Genomic DNA, 22,514 nt, shown 5'->3' with positions numbered 1-22,514 from the left:
CCACCCAGTTTCCTCGGGTTTTAGTGTAGTGGCCCCTGTTGGAAGAGCTAGGATGTACCTCTTGGCATTCAGTCCCCTCAGCATTAGTAGATTTGTATTCCCAGCTGTTCTGAAAAGGGCTATGGCACTCCCCCACTTGCCCCCGTTCTTCAAGGCCCACCTCTACAAGCCATTCCTTTAGTCCCTTTGGTGAGTGAGTCTTCCTCTGTGGCATACCGTAGACACTTGGTACACGTTAATGTTTATTAAGTCCTATATTGATGGTGCATGTTTTTGTATCTTCATTGGCCTGTGAGTACCCTAAAGCAGACATTCCTTGAAACGTTTTACTGGTGTTCAGTCCATAATATATATTACAAAAATGTTTACCATATTGATTGTGATTAGAGAGGCTTGGGGTTGTGAGATGATGTTGTCCTCCCTGGAAATGATGGGAGAAGCCCAAAGGTTGGATATTGGTTCCTAAAAGGCTGACTCCTGGTCTGCATGATGTGCTAGTCCTGCTGTGATGAGGGAGACAGCTGAGTCCAGACTTAGGATAGGACTAATTAATTGAGTACCTACTCTGTGTGTCAAGTACTTTATTTATTGGGACCCTGTTTTTTCTTTTTCTTTTTCTTTTCTTTTTTTTTTTTTTTGAGACAGTCTTGCTCTGTTGTCCAGGCTGGAGTGCAGTGGCATGATGTTGGCTCACTGCAACCTCTGCCTCTTGGGTTCAAGTGATTCTCGTGCCTCAGCCTCCCAAGTAGCTGGGACTACAGGCGTGCGCCACCCCATCTGGCTAGTTCTTGTATTTTTAGTAGAGTTGGTGTTTCTCCCAGTTGGCCAGGCTGGTCTCAAACTCCTGGGCTCAAGTGATCTGCCTGCCTCAGCCTCCCAAAGTGCTGGGATTACAGGCATGAGCCACTGCACCCAGCCAAGGGACCCTTTACAATTAAATTCTCAAAATGACCCTAGGAGGAAAATGCCAATAGCTTCGTTTTATACATGAGGAGACTAAGGCACAGAGGTGTGATAACTTGTCCGTGGTTCTCAGAACCCATGCCTGTGCTCCTGCCACTCCAATAGAGAAGTATGTGCCGCACATATTTTTAGACCCGTGAATTGTGGTTTTTTTCATCTTTTTCCAGGTGAGGGAATGGAAGGTCAGCTAAGTGGTAGTGAAAGTAAGATTAGAACCTGGTCTGTTGGTTCTAAGCCCAAGTTTGCAAGCTTTTTTAGATGGAGTCTCACTCTGACGCCCACACTGGAGTGCAGTGGCATGACCTCGGCTCACTGCAACTTCTGCCTGCTGGGTTCAAGTGATTCTTTTCTTTTTTTTCTTTTTTTTTTTTTTGAGATGAAGTCTTTCTCTGTCGCCCAGGCTGGAGTGCAGTGGCGTGATCTCAGCTCACTGCAACCTCTGCCTCCCGGGTTCAAGCTATTCTCCTGCCTCAGCCTCCTGAGGAGCTGGGATTACAGGCGTGCACCACTATGCCCGGCCAGTTTTTGTATTTTTAGTAGAGACGGGGTTTCACCACGTTGTTCAGGCTGGTCTCAAACTCCTGACCCCGTGATCTGCCCACCTGGGCCTCCCAAAGTGCTGCGATTACAGGTGTGAGCCACCGCGCCTGGCCTATTTTTTTTTTTTTTGGAGTCAGGGTCTTGCTCTGTCACCAAGGCTGGCATACAGTGGCACAATCATGGCTCACTGCAGCCTCAACTTCTCGGGCTCAAGCAACCCTCCCATCTCAGCCTTCCCAGTAGTCAGGACAACTGGAGTGTGCCACCATGCCGAGCCAATTTTTGTATTTTTTGTAGAGATGGGATTTTGCCATGTTGTCCAGGCTGGTCTCAAACTCCCGAGGTCAAGTGATCCACCCACGTCTGCTTCCCAGAGTGCTGGGATTACAGGCGTGAGATGCCGTGTCCAACCTAATCATAGTCTTATACCGTCTCTATGGAAGGACTTGGGCTGCTGTTTTTATGGCTGAGTAGAAAGGTGTTGGAAATCAGATCTTCAGTTCAAAGTCATATATAAGTTCTTTAGGGACAGTCTTGAGATAGAAATTATAGAGACTAAACTGTTCCTCCTTATCCACCAGCCCGACTAAACTTTTTTTTTTTTTTTTTTTTTTTTGAGACAGAGTCTCTCTCTGTCGCCCAGGTTGGAGTGCAGTGGCGCGATCTCAGCTCACTGTAACCTCCACCTCCTGGGTTTAAGCGATTCTCGTGCCTCAGCCTCCCGAGTAGCTGGGATTATAGGCACACAACCGTGCCTGGCTAATTTTTGTATTTTTAGTAGGGACGGGGTTTCACCATGTTGGCCAGGCTGGTCTCAAACTCCTGACCTCAGGTGATCCGCCTGCCTCGGCCTTTCAAAGTGCTGGGATTACAGTCATGAGCCACTGCACCCGGCCTAAACTTTTAAAACAATATCTATTTTTTGGCCAGGAACGGTGGCTCATGCCTGTAACCCCAGCACTTTGGGAGTCCAAGGTGGAGGATCTCTGGAGCTCAGGAGTTTGAGACCAGCCTAGGCAACATAGGGAGACCCTGCTTCTGCAAAAATCCAAAAACTAGCTGGGCATGGTGGCTTATGCCCATGCTTCCCGCTACTTGGGAGGCTGAGACAGGAGGATCACTTGAGCCAAGGAGGTCAAGGCTGCAGAGAGCTGTGATACTGCTACTGCACTCCAGCCTGGGTGACAGAGTCAGACCCTGTCTCAATAAATAAATGAATAAGGTCTGGGCGTGGTAGCTTATGCCTGTAATCCCAGCACTTTAGGAGACCGAGGTGGGTGGATCACTTGAGGTCAGGAATTCGAGACCAGCCTGGCTAACATGATGAAACCCCATCTCTACTAAAAATACAAAAATTAACTAGGTGTGGTGGCACACGCTTGTCGTCCCAGCTATTCAGGAGACTGAGGCAGGAGAATCACTTGAACTTGGTAGGTGCAATCTAGCGTGGGCGATAGAGCGAGACTCCATCTCAAAAAATAAATAAAATAAGTAAATGAAACCTTTTTTGTTTTCGGATTCTAAAATGAACAAAGTAAAAGCTGTAACTCCACTACTGAAAAGATAGCCACTGTTAATGTTGAAAACCTTATTTATTTGAATAGCTGGTACATGTACATGGTATACAATTTTAAAAATCCTTAAGGATATACAGTAGTAAAAAGAAGACTCCCTTGACCCTAGCTGCTTAGTTTCCTTTTCAGAGGCAATCACTGCTGCACTGTTTACGTTTTCATATATTTGTTTCCTATGCCTTCTCTTCTCCCAAGTTTTATTATGAAAATTTGCAAGCATATATGTGCATTACTTAGTCATTTGGAAGTAAATTACAGACTCAATTACATTTCACCCCTAAGTGCTTCAGCATTCACCTCTTAAAATCATCATTCTCCTGTACTACCACTATTCAGTTATCACAACTAAGAAAATTTCCTCATGTCATCAATTATCCAGTTTATATTTAAGCTTCCTTAACTTGCTCCCCAAATGTCTTTTTGTTATTTTGGAACCAGAGTCCAGTCAAAGTTTGTGCACTGTTTACCTATGTCTCAGAAATCTCTCATGTTTTGGAATGGTTCGCTCACTTTTTTTTTTTTTTTTTTTTTGAGATGGAGTTTTGCTCTTGTTGCCCAGGCTGGAGTGCAATGGCGTGATCTTGGCTCACCGCAACCTTTGCCTCCCAGGTTCAAGCGAGTCTCCTGCCTCAGCCTCCTGAGTAGCTGGGATTACAGGCATGTGCCACCATGCCCAGCTAATTTTGTATTTTTAGTAGAGACGAGGTTTCTCCATGTTAGTCAGGCTGGTCTGGAACTCCCCAACCTCAGGTGATCCGCCCGCCTCGGCCACCCAAAGTGCTGGGATAACAGGCGTGAGCCACCGTGCCCGGCTCACCCTTTCTTTTTAGACACTGACTTTTTGAAAAGACCAGGCCATTTGTCTTTGAGAACATCCCACATTCTGTGTTTGTGTTAAGATTTCCTCATGAAAACCTTACTATGTTCCTCTATATTGTATTGCTGTATTTCCTAGGAACTGGAAGATAAGTCTGAAGGCTTGTTTAGATTCAGATTAGGCTGGATATGGTGGCTCATGCCTGTAATCCCAGCACTTTGGGAGGCCACGGCGGGAGGATCACTTGAGGCCAGGAGTTCAAGACTAGCCTGGGCAACACAGCGAGACCTTGTCTTTATTATAACAAAAAATTAAAAAAAGGAAAAAAATAGATTCAGGTTAAATATTTTTGGTAAGATACATCATAAATGATGCTGTGTGTTTCATATTGTTTCACAACAGGAATATGCACTTTTTTTAGATGGTGGTAAAATACACATAAAATTTCCTAAATTAACCATTTTTAAGTGTGCAGTTCAGTAGTGTTAAATATATTCACGTTTTTGTGCAAACGATCTCTAGAACTTTTTCATCTTGCAAAAATGAAAATCTATGCCCATTAAAAAACAACTCCCAGGCCAGGCGTGGTGGCTCATGCCTGTAATCCCAGCACTTTGGGAGGCCGAGGTGGGCGAATCACAAGGTCAGAAGATCGAGACCATCCTGGCCAACATGGTGAAACCCTGTCTCTACTAAAAATACAGAAAGTTAGCTGGGTGTGGTGATGTGTGCCTGTAATCCCAGCTATTCGGGAGGCTGAGGTGGGAGAATCCCTTGAACCAGGGAGTCGGAGGTTGTGGTGAGCTGAGATCACGCCACTGCACTCCAGCCTGGCAACAGAGCAAGACTCCATCTCAAAAGAAAAAAAAACCTCCCATTTTCCCCTCCTCCCAGCCTATTTTTAAATTTTACTTTACATTATTATTATTATTATTATTTTATTTTATTTTATTTTTTTTTTTTGAGATGGAGTCTTACTCTGTTGCCCAGGCTGGAGTGCAGTGGCACGATCTTGGCTCACTGCAGCCTCCACCTCCCAGGTTCAAGCGATTCTCCTGCCTCAGCCTTCCAAGTAGCTGGGATTACAGGCGCCCGCCACCACGCCCAGCTAAGTTTTGTATTTTTTAGTAGAGACAGGGTTTCACCATATTGGTCAGGCTGGTCTTGAACTCCTGACCTCAGGTGATCCACCTGCCTCAGCCTCCCAAAGTGCTGGGATTACAGGCGTGAGCCACCATGCCCGGCCCACTTTATATTATTTTAACATCGTTGAGTTTTGTGTCTTGTTTGTTTCACCTATTGTGGGCTTTTGTCCATGTCATTAAAGGTTGTAAAACTATCCATTCTGTGAATATACCATTTCTTTAGATTGGGTTCTAGCTTCTTTTTTTAAACTATTCTTTCCTCTTTTTTTTTTTTTTTCACTATTTTTTTAAAGAGAGTCTTGTTCTGTCACCCAGGCTGGAGTGCAGTGGTGTCATCATAGCTCATGCAGCTTTGAACTCTTGAGCTCAAGCGATCCTCCCTCCTCAGCCTTCTGAGTAGCTGAGACTACAGGCGCATGCCACTATGCCCAGCTAATTTTTTTTTTTTTTTTTTGAGATGGAGTCTCGCTCTGTCGCCCAGGCTAGAGTGCAGTGGCACGATCTCGGCTCACTGCAACCTCCGCCTCCCAGGTTCAAGGAATTCTCCTGCCTCAGCCTCCCGAGTAGCTCATGCCCAGCTAATTTTTAAAGTTTTTGTAGAGACTGGGTTTTGCCTTGTTGTCCAAGCTGGTTTCAAACTCCTGGCCTCAAGCGATCTTCCTGCCTCGGCATCCCAAAGTGCTGGGATTACAGGTGTGAGTCACTACGCTTATCCTGGGTTCTAGCTTCTGGCTGCTATATAGTAACTGCAAAAGGACTGTTTTTCCTAAGCCTTTGACCCAGAGGTTTGGTTGTGCTCAGTCTTTATGGGGACAGAGGAGTAGTCTCTCTTCCCATTAGTCTGAGTACTGAGTGATTAGGGGACATTTTTGTTCATCTCAATATCTTTATTCCTTTTCCTCTCCTCTTCATCCTGACTTTCCCTCTACTGCCTCGTCCCTCTTCCCTTAGGTAAGTCAAATCTCATGGATGCCATCAGCTTTGTGCTAGGTGAAAAAACCAGCAACCTGCGGGTAAAGACCCTGCGGGACCTGATCCATGGAGCTCCTGTGGGCAAGCCAGCTGCCAACCGGGCCTTTGTCAGCATGGTCTACTCTGAGGAGGGTGCTGAGGACCGTACCTTTGCCCGTGTCATTGTAGGTGGGTGAGGCTGGCCAGAAAGCTCTCCTTGGGTCCTGGGAGGTGGCTAGACTAGTTGATTGGGACAGGAAGGAGGCCTGACCCTTGCCAACTCATGCATTGTCTTGTAGGAGGTTCTTCTGAGTACAAGATCAACAACAAAGTGGTCCAACTACATGAGTACAGTGAGGAATTAGAGAAGTTGGGCATTCTCATCAAAGCTCGTAACTTCCTCGTTTTCCAGGTGGGCGTTTTTAACAGTTATTGGCTATCTGGTTTTTGCCAGACCATGTCCCATCCCCACTCTGTCTGCTCCATCTCAGGCTTTATCATCTCTCCCTTGAACTAATGTAGCACCTTGTTCACTGAGCTTCCCAACTTCAGTCTGGCCCCTGAGCCAGGTTCATCTTATGAGGACACACATTTGTTTTGTTTCCCCTCCCTTTTTTCCTTAAAACATTTCAGTGATTCCGTATTGCCTTACAATGGTGGTTCTTAAACTGTAGTCTCCAGACCAGCAGTATCAGCATTACCTGGTAACATGTTAGAAAATGCACATTCTCAGGCCCTATCCTAGACTTCCTGACTTGGAAGAAACTGTGGAGTGGGGCACAGCAGTTTGTGTTTTACCAAGCTCTCCAGTTTATTATGATGTCGGCCGAAATTTGAGAACTATTGCCTTAGGATGAGATCCAAACTCCTAAGCCTATCATTTAGGAAACACCATCATCAAAATCCAAATACCATCTGCATGTTCTTCTCCAGCCTTGCACTCCAGCCTACTTAAACCATTTATGGTTCTGCAAATTCACCTGCTTTCTTTGGCCTACAGGTCTTTGCATATTACTTTTCCTCTTCATAGAATAACTTTTTCTCTGTTTTTTTTGTTTGTTTGTTTTTTGTTCTTGTTTTTTTTTTTTTTTTTTGAGACGGAGTTTCGCTTGTCACCTAGGCTGGAGTGCAGTGGCACGACCTTGGCTCACTGCAACCTCCGTCTCCAGGGTTCAAGTGATTCTCCTGCCTCAGCCTCCCAAGTAGCTGGGACTACAGGCGCCCGCCGCCATGCCTGGCTAATTTTTGTATTTTGGGTAGAGATGGAGTTTTACCATTTTGGCTAGGCTGGTCTTGAACTCCTGATCTCAGGTGATCTGCCTGCCTCAGCCTCCCAAAGTGCTGGGATTACAGGTGTGAGCCACCGCGCCCGGCCACCTTTTTTCTTTTATTTTCTTGGTTAGTTTCCCTCCAGCTTCCAAACTCAGCACAGATGTCACCTTTGGGAAGCCTTCTGAGATAGATATCCCTATCAGTCTCCTACCCCCAAGCTTCATTTTGTCCTTTTCCTATGCTGCTTCTGTTACTGCACATAACACTTTGTTGTCTTTGTCCCTTTGGCTCCCTGTGCTCCTCAGAGGGCAAGGAATTTGTCCTCAAAGCCCAGTGTGAAATGTGGCAGCAGGGGCATGGGAGAGAAAGTTGGTAACTTTTTCTGGGTGAAGGAGTGGAAATGGGTAAGGTGAACTGGGTTGGCTGGGGTCTGAAGTGGAAGAGTGTTTCGACCTTTACTAGGGTGCTGTGGAATCTATTGCCATGAAGAACCCCAAAGAGAGGACAGCTCTATTTGAAGAGATTAGTCGTTCTGGGGAGCTGGCGCAGGAGTATGACAAGCGAAAGAAGGAAATGGTGAAGGCTGAAGAGGACACACAGTTTAATTACCATCGCAAGAAAAATATTGCGGCTGAACGCAAGGAAGCAAAGCAGGAGAAAGAAGAGGTAGGTGGCCAAGCTACCTCTTGGCTCTGAGGGACCAGGATGGAGCCAGTGCCTTATCGATGCACCCCTGCCACCATTCCCCTGTTTGCACAGGCTGACCGGTACCAGCGCCTGAAGGATGAGGTAGTACGGGCTCAGGTACAGCTGCAGCTCTTTAAGCTTTACCATAATGAAGTGGAAATTGAGAAGCTCAACAAGGAACTGGCCTCAAAGAACAAGGAGATCGAGAAGGACAAGAAGCGTATGGACAAGGTGGAGGATGAACTGAAGGAGAAGAAGAAGGAGCTGGGCAAAATGATGCGGGAGCAGCAGCAGATTGAGAAGGAGATCAAGTAAGAGGCAGACCTGGGCCTGCAACTTGTGGGAAACCAAGAGGCCGTGCTGTTTATTAGGGTTCCTCTGAGCCCGGAGTTCAGTACCTATACTCATTTCTCTGTTATTCTCCTAACTTGCTTTTGTAAGAACCAGGCACATTTCTTGACTTGCAGTTTAGACAAATAGAATATTTAAGCACTCAGGCCCTGGGTAGACAGGTGCTCAGATGAGGGAGAACTCAAAAGGGGTGGTGGCCTTGCCAAGAAAGAGGAACCAATGTGAGGCCGAGCCAATGGAGTGGCTGAGAAGGCCTTCCTAGAAGAGGAAACTGAAGCTAGAAGTTTAAAGGATAGGAATTTGAGGGGCCAACTAAGTAAATACAGGATGTTCTTGGGAGTTGTTAATGAGCTTCCTGGCCAGGGTTGAGGCAGAGTTGGTAGCTTTGCCTTATGGAGTGGCTGGAATGCCAGGCTGAAGTCATACCTTTCAGGGAGTAGTCAGACTGCCCCTTTTTTTCAGGATCTGTGGGGCATTACGCCCATGTTCTTTTAAGTAATTCCCTGAGGTTGGCTCAGGGGCTCAAGCTCTCCTTTGGGTGAAAAGCCTGGGAACCCTCCCTTCTTCCATAGTTCTCACTGGTTTCCCCCACCCCTCTGGCAAAAGGGAGAAGGACTCAGAATTGAACCAGAAGCGGCCTCAGTACATCAAAGCCAAGGAGAACACCTCCCACAAAATCAAGAAGCTGGAAGCAGCCAAGAAGTCTCTGCAGAATGCTCAGAAGCACTACAAGAAGCGTAAAGGTGACATGGATGAGCTGGAGAAGGAGATGCTGTCAGTGGAGAAGGCTCGGCAGGAGTTTGAAGAACGGATGGAAGAAGAGAGTCAGAGTCAGGGCAGAGATTTGACGTTGGAGGAGAATCAGGTAAGCTCTGGAAGGGGTTGGCAGGGAGGAGATCCCTGGGCTGACATCTGCTGACTTGGTCATCCCTGTTCTCCTTCCCTGTCCCTAACACAGGTGAAGAAATACCACCGGTTGAAAGAAGAAGCCAGCAAGAGAGCAGCTACCCTGGCCCAGGAGCTGGAGAAATTCAATCGAGACCAGAAAGCTGACCAGGACCGTCTGGATCTGGAAGAACGGAAGAAAGTAGAGACAGAGGTGGGCTATAGTTATAAGATTAGGGATGATGGTCCACAGAAAAGGATATATATAGGTTGAGCATCCCAAATCCAAAATAATCCAAAATCTGAAACGTTTCCGGTCCTAAGCATTTTGGATTAGAGTTACCCAACCTGTAATGATAGTCTTTTTTTTTGTTTTTTTGTTTTTTTGAGACAGAGTTTCGCTCTTGCCCAGGCTGGAGTGCAGTGATGTGATCTCAGCTCACCACAACCTTTGCCTCCCGGGTTCAAGCAATTCTCCTGCCTCAGCCTCCTGAGTAGCTGGGACTACAGGCGTGCGCCACCATGTCCAACTAATTTTTGTATTTTTAGTAGAGACAGGGTTTCACTACGTTGGCCAGGCTGGTCTCGAGCTCCTGACCTTGTGATCCACCCACTTCGGCCTCCCAAAGTGCTGGGATTACAGGCTTGAGCCACTGCGCCTGGCCATGATAATCTTAATGATAATGACAATGATAATGACAGTAGCTCACATCTGTTGAGCACTTACTGTATGATAGGCAATGTTCTTTACATGTATCCACTCATTTAATTCTTCATTTATTATTATCTTTATGGAATGGCTACTATTACCCTATTTTATGAATGAGGAAATTACAACACAGAGTAATTTGCCTAAGGTCACAAGATTATTGTTATTTTTGAGACAGAGTCTTTCTCTGTCATGCAGGCTGAGGTGCAGTGGTGCGACCATGGCTCACTGCAGCTTCGACTTCCCAGGCTTAAGCAATCTTCCAACCAGAGCCTCCTGAGTATCCAGCATTACTTGTGCTTGCCACCATGCCTGGCTACTTTTTTTTTTTTTTTTTTTGAGACAAAGCCTCACTCTGTTGCCCAGGCTGGAGTGCAGTGGCATGATCTCAGCTCACTGCAACCTCTGCCTGTCGGGTTCAAGTGATTCTTTTTATTTTTTTATTTTTATTTTTATTGTTTTTTGAGACGCAGTTTCTCTCTTGTTGCCCAGGCTGGAGTGCAATGGTGCCATCTCGGCTCACTACAACCTCTGTCTCCCAAGTTCAAGCAATTCTCCTGCCTCAGCCTCCCCAAGTAGCTGAGATTACAGGCACCAGCCACCATTCCCGGCTAATTTTTGTATTTTTAGTGGAGACGGGGTTTCACCTTGTTGGTCAGGCTGGTCTCGAACTCCTGACCTCAGGTGATCCACCCGCCTTGGCCTCCTAAAGTGCTGGGATTACAGGTGTGAGCCAACGCACCCAGCCCGGTTCCAGTGATTCTTGTGTCTCAGCCACCCGTGTAGGTGGGATGACAGGTGGGTGCCACCACACCTGGCTAAATTTTTTGTAGTTTTAGTAGAGATGGGATTTCACCATGTTGACCAGGCTGGTCTTGAACTTCCGAACTCAAGTGATCCGCCCGCCTCGGCCTCCTAATTTTTTAATTTTTATAGAGTCAGGGTTTCTGCTTGTTGCCCAGGCTGGTCTTAAACTCCTGCCTGCCTCTGCGATCAGCCTGCCTTGGCCTCCCAAAGTGTTGGGATTACAGGCGCGAGCCACCGTGCCCGGCCACTCACATAACTATTAAGTATCAGAACCAGACCCTGGGCATTGTAGCTCTAAAGCCCACACTCTTACCAAATATACTTTACTTACTGCCTCCCTGATATCAATATTGTAATAACAGCAATGATAGAAAGTTGTCATAGTGTCCCAGGAGTGTACAGTGTTCAGGCATTCTGCTAAGCACTTTTAAATATTTAAAAGAATGTTGGCCAGGCGTGGTGGATCACTTGAGGCCAGGAGTTTGAGATCAGCCTGAGCAACACAGTGAGACCCTGTCTCAAATTTTAAAAAATAATAAAAATTTTTTAAAAATAATGTGATAGTCATTAATATTAATAACAACCCTATATTAAGCACTTAATGTGTATTCTATGCAGTGGAGATTACCCACATTTTGCAGATGAGGAAACAGGTACAGAAAGGCCTGTGAAGCTTTATCTTGATTTGAGCCTCCATGGTTGGTGAAGAAGATGCCTTGGCTGGGTAGAACACCTATGAGAGGTTCTGGAGCTCTGGGAGGCCCCCATCATTAGTTAGTAGATCAAACCGAACACCATCTATGTCTGCTTTTTAGTAGGCCTCCTATATTAGTGACAGATTGTCCTGGACTGTTCGGCTCTTGGATGAGTGGGCACATAAAGGGTGTGATCTAGAGCCCCCATGGTCTTGGCGTAAACTCGTGCAGCCCCTGATGATGGAATGTTTGTTTCCCAGGCCAAGATCAAGCAAAAGCTGCGGGAAATTGAAGAGAATCAGAAGCGGATTGAGAAACTGGAGGAATACATCACCACTAGCAAGTATGTAGCTCTGCATCTGTCCCCCTTACTTCCAGGCCTGTTCTTGTGACCCTACCTACATGCCCCTCTTCATGCAGGACCCCCAGAGCTCTCTGAGCCAGGAGTATTTTCTCACCAGCAGGAGTAACTCCTGTGTGCCCTCACTTTGTAGGCAGTCCCTAGAAGAGCAGAAGAAGCTAGAGGGGGAGCTGACAGAGGAGGTGGAGATGGCCAAGCGGCGTATTGATGAAATCAATAAGGAGCTGAACCAGGTGATGGAGCAGCTAGGGGATGCCCGCATCGACCGCCAGGAGAGCAGCCGCCAGCAGCGAAAGGCAGAGATAATGGAAAGCATCAAGCGCCTTTACCCTGGCTCTGTGGTAAGAGCAGAGAGGGAACTCATTTCCTGAGCACTTACACTCACTGTCACACGATTTTCCCAGCAGCCCTGTAAGGACAGGGTTGCCAATCCCATTTTTATTGTTGGGGGAAATGAGGCTCGGAGAGGTTTAAAAAAGCACCGCTTCTAAGAGGAAGAACTGCAGTTCAAACCCAACTTGTTCTCCTGAGCTCATGTTCTTTTTTTTTTTTTTTTTTTTTTATTTTTCAACCTGTCATACTAGGCAATCATGTTCTTTTCATCATACCAATTGCGTCTTTCTGAAGGTTTTGTCTTGCTATGTCTATGCCTCTGGGAGGGGAATTGGAAAACCAGGAAAGATTTTGGAAGCAGGTGGGGCCATGGGGCTGGAATTACTCTCCCAGGAAGTAGCTCTGTGCAGTCTTATAAAGGGGCTCCCTTGGCATGTATTAACTGGTCCAGTAGCTTTTAGGGACACCCTGAGCTTTATCAGATCTCTTGATCTTTTGGCCTCTTTCACCAAATCCTGAGTTCCCAGGTTCCCTGAATATTATCCCATACCTGGGTTCAACTTAGTTTGGTTCCACTAATATTTCCCTATCACTTCTCTAGACACTGCTGGGGAGATAAGTATGGTTAGAGTCAGTCCCTGCCCCCTTAATCTGATAGTTCTTAGGGAACCAGGCTTGGTTTTGGAGGCTGCAGGAAGGGAACTGGTAGAAGAGATTGATTGATTGATTGATTGATTTTGAGATGGAGTCTCGCTCTGTCGCCCAGGCTGGAGTGCAGTGGCACAACCTCGGCTCACTGCAATCTCTGCCTCCTAGGCTCAAGTGATTCTCCTGCCTCAGCCTCCCAAGTAGCTGAGATTACAGGTGCTCGCCGCCATGCCCAACTAATTTTTTTGTATTTTTAGTAGAGACGGGGTTTCACCATGTTGGCCAGGCTGGTTTTAAACTCCTGACCTCAAGTGATCTGCCCGCCTCGGCCTCCCAAAGTGGTAGGGTTACAGGCGTGAGTCACCACGCCCAGCCAGATTTATTTTGCTAAGTGCTTGTGAGAATTTGAAATAATATATATAAGATACTTGGCATAGTGCCTGGGTGGTGGTGGTCTGTAAAATGGTAGATGTGAGGTTTAGAAAGATGATTCTGGATTCAGACACGACTGCCTGAAGTCATTGCTTGGGAACCAGAATAGGCTTTTCCTTGATAGCATGGGGGCTGTGTTCTTCTGTGAGATAGGAAAAAACCAAAGTGTTTTTTCTACTCTCACAACCAGCACAACACTTCACTTCTGACACCAGAAGTGTGGGGGTTTTTCCTCACACACCAAGCAATTCTCCAGCAGACACCAGCTGGGTGACCTATAATTCACTTCAGCTCTGACACTATTTATCTGGAGATAGCATCAGATCCTGTGGGTTAGGGGCTCAGTCCAAGACTTCAGGTGCCAATTGCAAGTCTCAGGTTGTGACTTGTGGTTCTGACTGACCTGCTATAAATTACAGTTCCCGAGAATCCCTCCCTGGGTTCGATTAATTTACTAGTGCAGCTCACAGAACTCAGGAAAATGTTTTACTTATGTTTACCCATTTATTATGAAGGATATTACAAAGGATACAGAGAACAGCCAGATGGATGCATAAGGCAAGGTATGGGAGAAGAGATGTGAAGCTTCCATGCCCAATCTGGGCAAGCCACCCTCCAGGTACCCCCACACAGGGGCTTCATTATGTAGTCATGATTGATCAGATCATCAGCCATCGGTGATCAGTTCAACCTTCAGCCCCTCTCCCCTCCTGAAGGTTGTAGGGGTGGAGCTAAGAGTCCCAAATCTAATCCTGCCTTGGTCTTTCTGGTAACCAGCCCCTATCCAGAAGCTATCTATGGGCCTCCAGCCATAATCATCTCATTAACATACAAAAGACACTGCTCATTCCTGAGATTCTAAGGGTTTTAGGAGTTGTGTGTCAGGAACTCACGGGTAGAAGACTAAATATATATTTCATAAAACCACAGTCCACTTTGATCTTCAAACACAGATCCCTTACATCAGAACAATCATGTAATAAATAGAAAGATGCTGGGAGCGGTAGCTCACGCCTGTAATCCTCGCACTTTGGGAGGCCGAGGCGGGCAGATCATCGGAGGTCAGGGGTTTGAGATCAGCCTGGCCAACATGGTGAAACCCCGTCTCTACTAAAAATACAAAAATTAGCCGGGCATGGTGGCGGGCACCTGTAATCCCAGCTACTCGGGAGGCTAAGGCAGGAGAATCACTTGAACCTGGGAGGTGGAGGTTGCAGTGAGCCAAGATTGCGCCACTGCACTTCAGCGTGGGCAACAGAGTGAGACTCCGTCTCCAAAAAAGAGTAGAAAGATACTGGCACATTACTAGAATCCCACTGAGTCATTAATTAATAATTAGTCTAGTCCATGATCATGTCATGTAAAAATGTCTCCTAGGGTGAGGCCATTCAGGTTTGCAGGCTTCTATTCAATCTTGTTAGGTTCCAAAACCAGGAGTGTTCTCGGCAAACATAGCTTCATACTTTCAGGCATCTGGGATAATTGTGCTAAGAGACAATATCATCTCTTGCTCTGAACCTCTTTTGAGGTGTTAATGTAATACTGAGTTTCCCTCATTACATAACTCATTTATTCATTTCTTTACCTCCCTTCTCTTACCCAAACTTTTCCACCTTTCAAAGGGACGTTAGGATTGGCCACTGTGCTGATCTGGAGTGCACACAGCAAGCTAGTCTGCAATTGCCTCCTCCTCAGTCCATACAGTCTCATTCAGATAGGGTAGGGTTGCATGGGTACAGAACTAGTGGGCTGTCTTTTTTGTTTGTTTTGAGACAGGGTCTCATTATGTTGCCCAGGCTGGTCTTGAACTCCTGGGCTTAAGCTGTCCTCCCATTGCAACCTCCCAAGTAGCTAGGATTACAAACACACACTACCATGCTTGGTATTGGGTTATCTTAACCACTAGGCAATACAGTTGCATTCACTTCCTGATATAGATTCTAGTCTGTCCCCCTTTCCATACTGGGAATTAGGATTCCTGAGCCAGCTTCCAAAAGCTTCATACTTCAGTTTTCCCTTCCTACTTTACTCAGTACGGCCGCCTCATTGACCTATGCCAGCCCACACAAAAGAAGTATCAGATTGCTGTAACCAAGGTTTTGGGCAAGAACATGGATGCCATTATTGTGGACTCGGAGAAGACAGGCCGGGACTGTATTCAGTATATCAAGGAGCAGCGTGGGGAGCCTGAGACCTTCTTGCCTCTTGACTACCTGGAGGTGAGGCTTGTTGGGGATTGGGTCAGGCCAGTGTTCAAGGGCCCCTCCTCTAGTACTCCCTGTTTGTGTTCTGCCACTGACTGAGCTTCTCCCCACAGGTGAAGCCTACAGATGAGAAACTCCGGGAGCTGAAGGGGGCCAAGCTAGTGATTGATGTGATTCGCTATGAGCCACCTCATATCAAAAAGGCCCTGCAGTATGCTTGTGGCAATGCCCTTGTCTGTGACAACGTGGAAGATGCCCGCCGCATTGCCTTTGGAGGCCACCAGCGCCACAAGGTGTGGATTCCCTTGCCCAGGCTGGAGCTGGACAGGCTCAGTACTGGAGATTCATTTGTTCAGCTTCTCCCCCTCTTCTCTCTTCCCCCTGCTGTGTGTAGACAGTGGCACTGGATGGAACCCTATTCCAGAAGTCAGGAGTGATCTCTGGTGGGGCCAGTGACCTGAAGGCCAAGGCACGGCGCTGGGATGAGAAAGCAGTAGACAAGTTGAAAGAGAAGAAGGAGCGCTTGACAGAGGAGCTGAAAGTAAGCCACAGGCAGTGCTGTTTTTAGCAGTGGGAGTCCTAAGCCTAGGTCAGCCACCACCTTACCACCTAGCCCTTCTTTCTTGTTCCCTTCAGGAGCAGATGAAGGCAAAACGGAAAGAGGCAGAGCTGCGTCAGGTGCAGTCTCAGGCCCATGGACTGCAGATGCGGCTCAAGTACTCCCAGAGTGACCTAGAACAGACCAAGACACGACATCTAGCCCTGAATCTGCAGGTGGGGCCTGGCCTTCAGCCCTGTTCTCCAAAGGCCATCCACACATTCCTGGCCTAGGTTTCTCTGGGGGTGGGGAACTTGTTTCACTTCCCCGTCTCCTCCCAGCCTGCCGCAGGGAGTCAGGTATAGCATAGAGTCAGACAGCCAGGGGTTCAGAGCTTGGCTCTGCCTTGAGTTTGACATTAGGCAAGTATTTTCACCTTTCAGTGTCAACCTTCACATCTTTATCTGTGAAATGCGAGTTAAGATGATACCTACTCGGCCGGGCACGGTGGATCACCTGTGGATCACCTGAGGTCAGGAGTTGGAGACCAGCCTGGCCAAACCTGTCTCTACTACAAATACAAAAAATTAGCTGGGCGTGGTGGCAGGCGCCTGTAATCCCAGCTACTTGGGAGGCTGAGGCAGGAGAATTGCTTGAACCCGGGAGGTGGAGGTTGCAGTGAGCCGAGATCATGCCATTGTACTCCAGCCTGGGTGACAGAGCGAGACTCTGTCTCAAAATAAATAAATGATACCTACTTTATAGGGTCATTATTGAATGAGTTAACATGTAAAGTGCTTAAGACTACCATGTGTTCAGTTTATGTTATGTGCTATTGTTAGCATAATTTATTCATTCAACAAATTTGAATTTTTGAAAGTGAGCTATGGGCATTTCAGTCCCTGCTTGTGGTAGTGGGCGGGGCGGGGGGGGACTGTTCTAGGTATATTAATGTGTTTTGTTTTTTTTACTGACTACTTCCCCAGACCGCCCTAGAGGTTTTATATGTAGTGTGTGTATTTATATATCTTTTTCTAAACTCAAAAAATCTAAACTGAATTCTGAAACAACTCTGCCCCCAGGGGTTGTAGATCAAAGACTGGGACCTATACCTAATGATGTTTACTGTGTCCCCAGCCCTGTGGATTGAAGCTGGCTGAACTGGATGCCAGGGAAGAAGCCATGTGATGGCTTCAGTGCAACATCATGGAGGCTTGACTAGGGCAGTAGTGCTAAGCCAGGTTCTCTCAGTTGTGGAGAGCTAGCCCTTCCTGACTGTGGGGCCAATGCAGTCAAGGTAGCTTTTTCTCCAAGGAGCCTGGTCTGCTTTGTCCTCTCAACCCATTGCCTGTAGGAAAAATCCAAGCTGGAGAGTGAGCTAGCCAACTTTGGGCCTCGCATTAATGATATCAAGAGGATCATTCAGAGCCGAGAGAGGGAAATGAAAGACTTGAAGGAGAAGATGAACCAGGTTGGTAGGGTGTGGGCCATGCCAGCGTGTGTGTCAGGGCAGGACTGGGACTGGAAGCAGGACAGACTAAAAGGGCCGATGCCCTCCCTGGCTTCTCTTCTCAGGTAGAGGATGAGGTGTTTGAAGAGTTTTGTCGGGAGATTGGTGTGCGCAACATCCGGGAGTTTGAGGAAGAAAAGGTGAAACGGCAGAATGAAATCGCCAAGAAGCGGTAGGTGGGAGGATTGGTAGAAGAGATTGGCATGCCCTTGAGCCTCTAGCTTGACATCCTTGGAAAACCAGATGCTGTCATAGGCAAGGGTCAGCTCTTAGAACTATGTGAGTTTATGTAGCTAGGCCTTAAAGAACAGAAATCAGGAGGGCAGTATGGCATAGTTATAGTGGTTAAGAGTGCCAACTCTAAACTTGATTTTCTGGATTCCTGGATTACAACCCCAGCTCCACAACTCGTTATCTTTGGCAGTGACTTGACTTCTGTAAGCTGCAATATCTGCAAAATGGTATAATGATACCTATCTCATGGCATTGTTGGGAGGATTAGGTGAAATAATTTTTTTTTTTTAAGATTACCTGTTTTACCTTTTTTTTTTTTTTTTTTTTTTTTTGACACAGGATCTCACTCTGTTTCCGAGACTGGAGTGCAGTGTCAATCTTGACCTTCCCAGGCTCAGGTGGTCCTCCCACCTCAGCCTCCTGAGTAGCTAGGACTACAGATGTTTGCCACCACGCCCGGCTAATTTTTCTTTTTTTGTTTTTTGTTGTTGTTGTTATTGTAGAGATGGGGTTTTGCCACATTGCCCAGGCTCGTCTTGATCTCCTGGGCTCAAGTGATCCTCCTGCCTCAGCCTCCCAAAGTGCTAGGATTATAGGTGTGAGCCATATTGCCGGCCCTTTTTTTTTTTTTTTTTGAGACAGAGTCTTGCTCTGTCGCCCAGGCTGGAGTGCAGTGGCATGATCTCGGCTCACTGCATTCTCCACCTTCCGGGCTCCCGTGTTCATGCAATTCTCCTGCCTTAGCCTCCTGAGTAGCTGGGACTATAAGTGCACGCCACCATGCCCGGCTAATTTTTCTTATTAGTAGAGATGGGGTTTCACCATGCTGGCCAGACTGATCTCGAACTCCTGACCTCGTGATCCACCCGCCTTGGCCTCCCAAAGTGCTGGGATTACAGGATGAGCCACCACGCCTGGCCCCAACCCCCGCCTGGCTTTTTTTTTTTTTTAACCTTTTTAAAAGGTATTTAGCAGCTTACATATCATCTACTAAGAGCAAGAAATAGTAGCTTTTGTTGTTATTATCATAATGGGCAACGTGAGGTGGAGGGAGGCGGGAGATGAAATTCTTGGTTGAAACAATAGTCAGAAGAAAATAATCTTCTCATTTTTCCTCACTTTAGTTGATTCATTCATTCAACAAACCTTTGTTGAGTACCTACCTTGTGCCAGGTTGTCTTGTGCTAGGTATTGGAAGGGGGACAAGGGAGATGGAGGTAAGACAGATGAACACAACACAGTCTTTGCTGAAGGAGGTCATCCCTTGTACCCTGGGCTTCAGTTAGCAGTTTAGCCCTTTGCCCATACAGTAAATATTCATTGCTGTCCTACTTCAAGCCAGTCTCAAGGGATATAGAATTGAATCAGACTGTATTTCTTTCCTCAGGAAACATATAGAGTACTGGGGGAAACATCAATTTGAGGACAGTGTGATCAATGGTGTAATTAAGGTAGATACAAAATACTGAAGAAATTTTCAAGGAACTGCAAATCAACAACAGGAAAAATAAAAAACAATGACAAGAAACCCAATGGAAATGTGGCTAAGTACTTATGATACCCAATGCAATGAAAAAAGTAAAAAAAAAAAAAGTGGCAAATAATATAGATAGGCTTTCATGGAAAGAGAAGTTCAAGTGGCTAATGACCATAGGAATTGAGGTCTAACCTCTTAATCAGAGAAATGCAAATTTAAAAGTCTGACAGTATTAGGTGGAAATCTATAGATGTCCTGTGTAGTATGTGAAAAAAATATATGTGTATATATATAATGTATATATATACACATATATAAAACCTATGGGTATATATCCCTGAGAGAGTCTTGCCATAGGGTCCCAAAGAGATACACATTCAGTGTCATTCATCTTGGCATAACTTGTAGTAGTGGGACATTGGTGGCAATGTAGATGGCCATTACTGGGGGAGCATAAGTCAAATGAATATATAGACTGGAATACTGTGTGGGAGTTCACAGCAAGAACTAGATTTGTGGGCAGTAATGGATAACTTATAAACCTGGTATTGACCAGAAAAAAGAATAAAATTTATAACACAGTAGATTTGTGTAAATTTTAGAACTAAGACATTTTACAAGGATATGCATTTTTAAGGAATGCATGTGTGTATGTCACTTTGTGGTGCATGTTCACAGTAGGGAAGGTAATGGGAATGGAAATTGGGGATTGAAACAAAGAGGACAAGGGAAGGGTCTTGCCCAGGCAGTGGTGATAAGTGTGTTATGAACTGTGGGATATGATTAACTTGCTTCTGCACCTAAAGTCTAAAAAGGGAGGAACCCAACAAAGTGTAATAGAAACTAGGAACCTGCTCAGAACCGTCAGGAAAGGTTTTACAAAACAGGGAGTGATGACTGGAGACCTGAAGAGTGAGTAGGATTTAGCCAGCCAGGCAGCGACAGAAAAAGTGAATTCCAAGCAGAGAGAACAGCATGCTTGGAAGTGTGAGAGAGCATGCCTTGTTCTGGATACTAAGTAGTTTTTAATGTCTGGAGCATAAAAGCAGGGTCAGGAAGAAGGTGGGGAGTGGTGGAGAGGTCAGCAGGGGCCGGATCACAGAGGCCTTTGTGAGTCATACTTAGGAGATTGGATATAAAATTGCATAGCTCAAAATTATAGAGTTAGTTATATTTCATTTGGATTATAGTGGCTAATAGGTTTAAGCTGCTAGCATGACATCTGGCAACATCTGTCACACCATATTGGGAGTTGGAGAGGGCAATTGGAAGTTAGTCCTGCCTGGCCTGCCAGTGCCTGTGTATGCTGGTTGCATACTCTTGAGTTTCTGAAGAGATGGAGAGGAGGACAATAGCAGGAATCCAGTATTTTCTCCATGTTTTTGTACTATCCAAGTTCTGCCCTTTAAGAGGTTCTGGGACCTTGGGGCAGAAGTTGGGATGCTGTAGTTGAAGCCCTTGGACAAAAGTAAGCTGAGTACAGTCAATATACCTGGTGATAATGGTAACTAAAATTGATTGAGTAGTTATCGTGGACTCGGTGTGGTTCTAAGGACTTTATACATATTAACTCATTTAAAAATCTCCCAATAACCCTGAGGTAGGTACTATTATTATGTTCATTTTGCAGATGGGGAAACAGGTCTGGAGAGTATAACCAACTTGCCTGAATGACATTACTAGTAAGTGGCAGAGTTGAGATGCCAGTCTTCTTAATCCACTACATTATGTTGCAGTGGTGGTATACTAGAAAGAGCCCGGGTTTTGGTGTTAAATCTGGGTTTCAGTCTCACATGTGCCATTTACTAGCTGTGTGGCCTTGGGCAAGGTCTTTTACCTCTTGGCCTAAGTTTTCCTCATTTGTAAAATTAGGATAATAATGCCTACTTGCAGAGCTGTTGATTAGAGGATTAGAGATAATGTATGTAAAGTACATAGAAGCCTAATAGGAATTACCATAGCTGGTAGAATCAGATGGACTCTTTTATGCCTCCTTGTAGGAACTTGGAGGGCGCTGGGGTCTTCATTGTTTAAAGGGGGATAAATAAGGTTTGGCCGAATCTTCCCTGCCTTATGCCATGTCCACAGGGCTAGGCTGAGGAACTTAGTTCTTCAGCTTCAGGGGACCGTTTTATGTGCATATGGATGGATGAAGCAAGTTGTGACTGAAAATCAGTAACTCTGGGTCCCTGAGCCCTGGGTCTAGTTTCCCTTTCTTCCCATAGTTGGATTTTGTACATTGGTTATCTCTGGCTGATGAGATTATGAGTGATTCTCCCCCCACCTTTATACACAGTTTGGAGTTTGAGAATCAGAAGACTCGCTTGGGCATTCAGTTGGATTTTGAAAAGAACCAACTGAAGGAGGACCAAGATAAAGTACACATGTGGGAGCAGACAGTGAAAAAAGATGAAAATGAGATAGAAAAGCTCAAAAAGGTAAGGAAGGAAAGAATTAAAAGACAGACTAATAACTGGGAGGAAAAATGGGAAGAAATACGACAGACAGAAGGATAATGTCCACAACTTAGAAATTTCTCATCTAAATCAATAAGAAAAATACCAAGACCTAAACGGGAAAAATGGATAAATGTCACAAACAGTTCAAGAAGACTTTCAAATAGTCCCTAAACACATACAAATAATTTAGTCTTACTAAAGAAATGCAAATTAAAGCAACAATTAGATACAATGTATTTTGTAACACATCGTGGAAAATGTAAAAACAGAAGACACAATGCTCAATACCAGCCATGGTATAGGAGACCAGTATTCTTTTTTTCTTTTTTTGAGATGGAGTCTTGCTCTGTTGCCCAGGCTGGAGTGCAGTGGCACTATCTTAGCTCACTGCAACCTCCGCCTCCCGGGTTCATGCCATTCTCCTGCCTCAGCCTCCCAAGCAGCTGGGACTACAGGTGCCTGCCACCACGCCCAGCTAATTTTTGTATTTTTAGTAGAGACGGGGTTTCACCATATTGGCCAGGCTGGTCTCGAACTCCTGACCTCATGATCCACCTGCCTCGGCCTCCCAAAGTGCTGGGATTACAAGCATGAGCCACCGTGCCTGGCCAGGAGACGAGTATTCTTATGTAATGTGGCACCATCCTTCAAGAAGCTTCACAATGCATTTATACTCTGTAACTCAGTAGTACCTGAGGAGATCATCCAAAATGCTGGCAAAGCTTTATGCAAACACTTTGATGTTTATAACAAGCATTATTTATAGTTCCAAATTGGAAACTACTCAGTGCCCCTTGGAAAGTGGGAATTTAGCAAATCATGCTACGTTTGTAACATTATTTATGTAGTGTCTTCAAACTTTAGTAATACACAGACCCTTTTTAAAGGAAAAATAGTCCCTAAGATTGCCAGTGTTGCCTTA

At 45.8% G+C, this 22,514-nt stretch overlaps 1 protein-coding gene and 1 non-coding gene across 3 annotated transcripts in view, besides 1 other annotated feature; both read left to right on the top strand.

Annotated features, from left to right (window-relative positions):
- The window catches only part of SMC1A (structural maintenance of chromosomes 1A), a 48,580-nt gene that overhangs the window by 1,569 nt on the left and 24,497 nt on the right, over positions 1-22,514 (top strand). For both annotated transcript variants that reach the window (NM_001281463.1, NM_006306.4), the window contains 15 exons: positions 5,991-6,179; positions 6,290-6,402; positions 7,725-7,928; positions 8,022-8,260; positions 8,907-9,165; positions 9,259-9,399; positions 11,657-11,739; positions 11,891-12,098; positions 15,204-15,389; positions 15,488-15,667; positions 15,769-15,915; positions 16,011-16,148; positions 17,267-17,383; positions 17,488-17,594; positions 21,430-21,571. In NM_001281463.1, the coding sequence (NP_001268392.1) occupies positions 5,991-6,179; positions 6,290-6,402; positions 7,725-7,928; positions 8,022-8,260; positions 8,907-9,165; positions 9,259-9,399; positions 11,657-11,739; positions 11,891-12,098; positions 15,204-15,389; positions 15,488-15,667; positions 15,769-15,915; positions 16,011-16,148; positions 17,267-17,383; positions 17,488-17,594; positions 21,430-21,571 (2,453 nt within the window). The remainder of the gene's footprint in view (positions 1-5,990; positions 6,180-6,289; positions 6,403-7,724; positions 7,929-8,021; positions 8,261-8,906; positions 9,166-9,258; positions 9,400-11,656; positions 11,740-11,890; positions 12,099-15,203; positions 15,390-15,487; positions 15,668-15,768; positions 15,916-16,010; positions 16,149-17,266; positions 17,384-17,487; positions 17,595-21,429; positions 21,572-22,514) is intronic.
- MIR6857 (microRNA 6857) lies at positions 15,395-15,487 on the top strand. Its single transcript, NR_106916.1, has one exon. It is a non-coding gene; the product is annotated as a microRNA 6857 (primary transcript).
- Positions 20,828-21,363: an enhancer, noted in NCBI's record as "NANOG hESC enhancer chrX:53426719-53427254 (GRCh37/hg19 assembly coordinates)". NCBI's record gives its function as "activates a minimal SCP1, AML or CMV promoter by ChIP-STARR-seq in naive H9 embryonic stem cells {active_cell/tissue: H9 hESC(naive)}" and the evidence as "EXISTENCE:reporter gene assay evidence [ECO:0000049][PMID:30033119]".

The sequence above is a fragment of the Homo sapiens genome, chromosome X (genome assembly GCF_000001405.40).
Source record: "Homo sapiens chromosome X, GRCh38.p14 Primary Assembly".
Lineage (NCBI taxonomy): Eukaryota > Metazoa > Chordata > Mammalia > Primates > Hominidae > Homo > Homo sapiens.
Note: the sequence above shows the minus strand (reverse complement) of the source record. Positions and strands in the feature narration are given on the sequence as shown.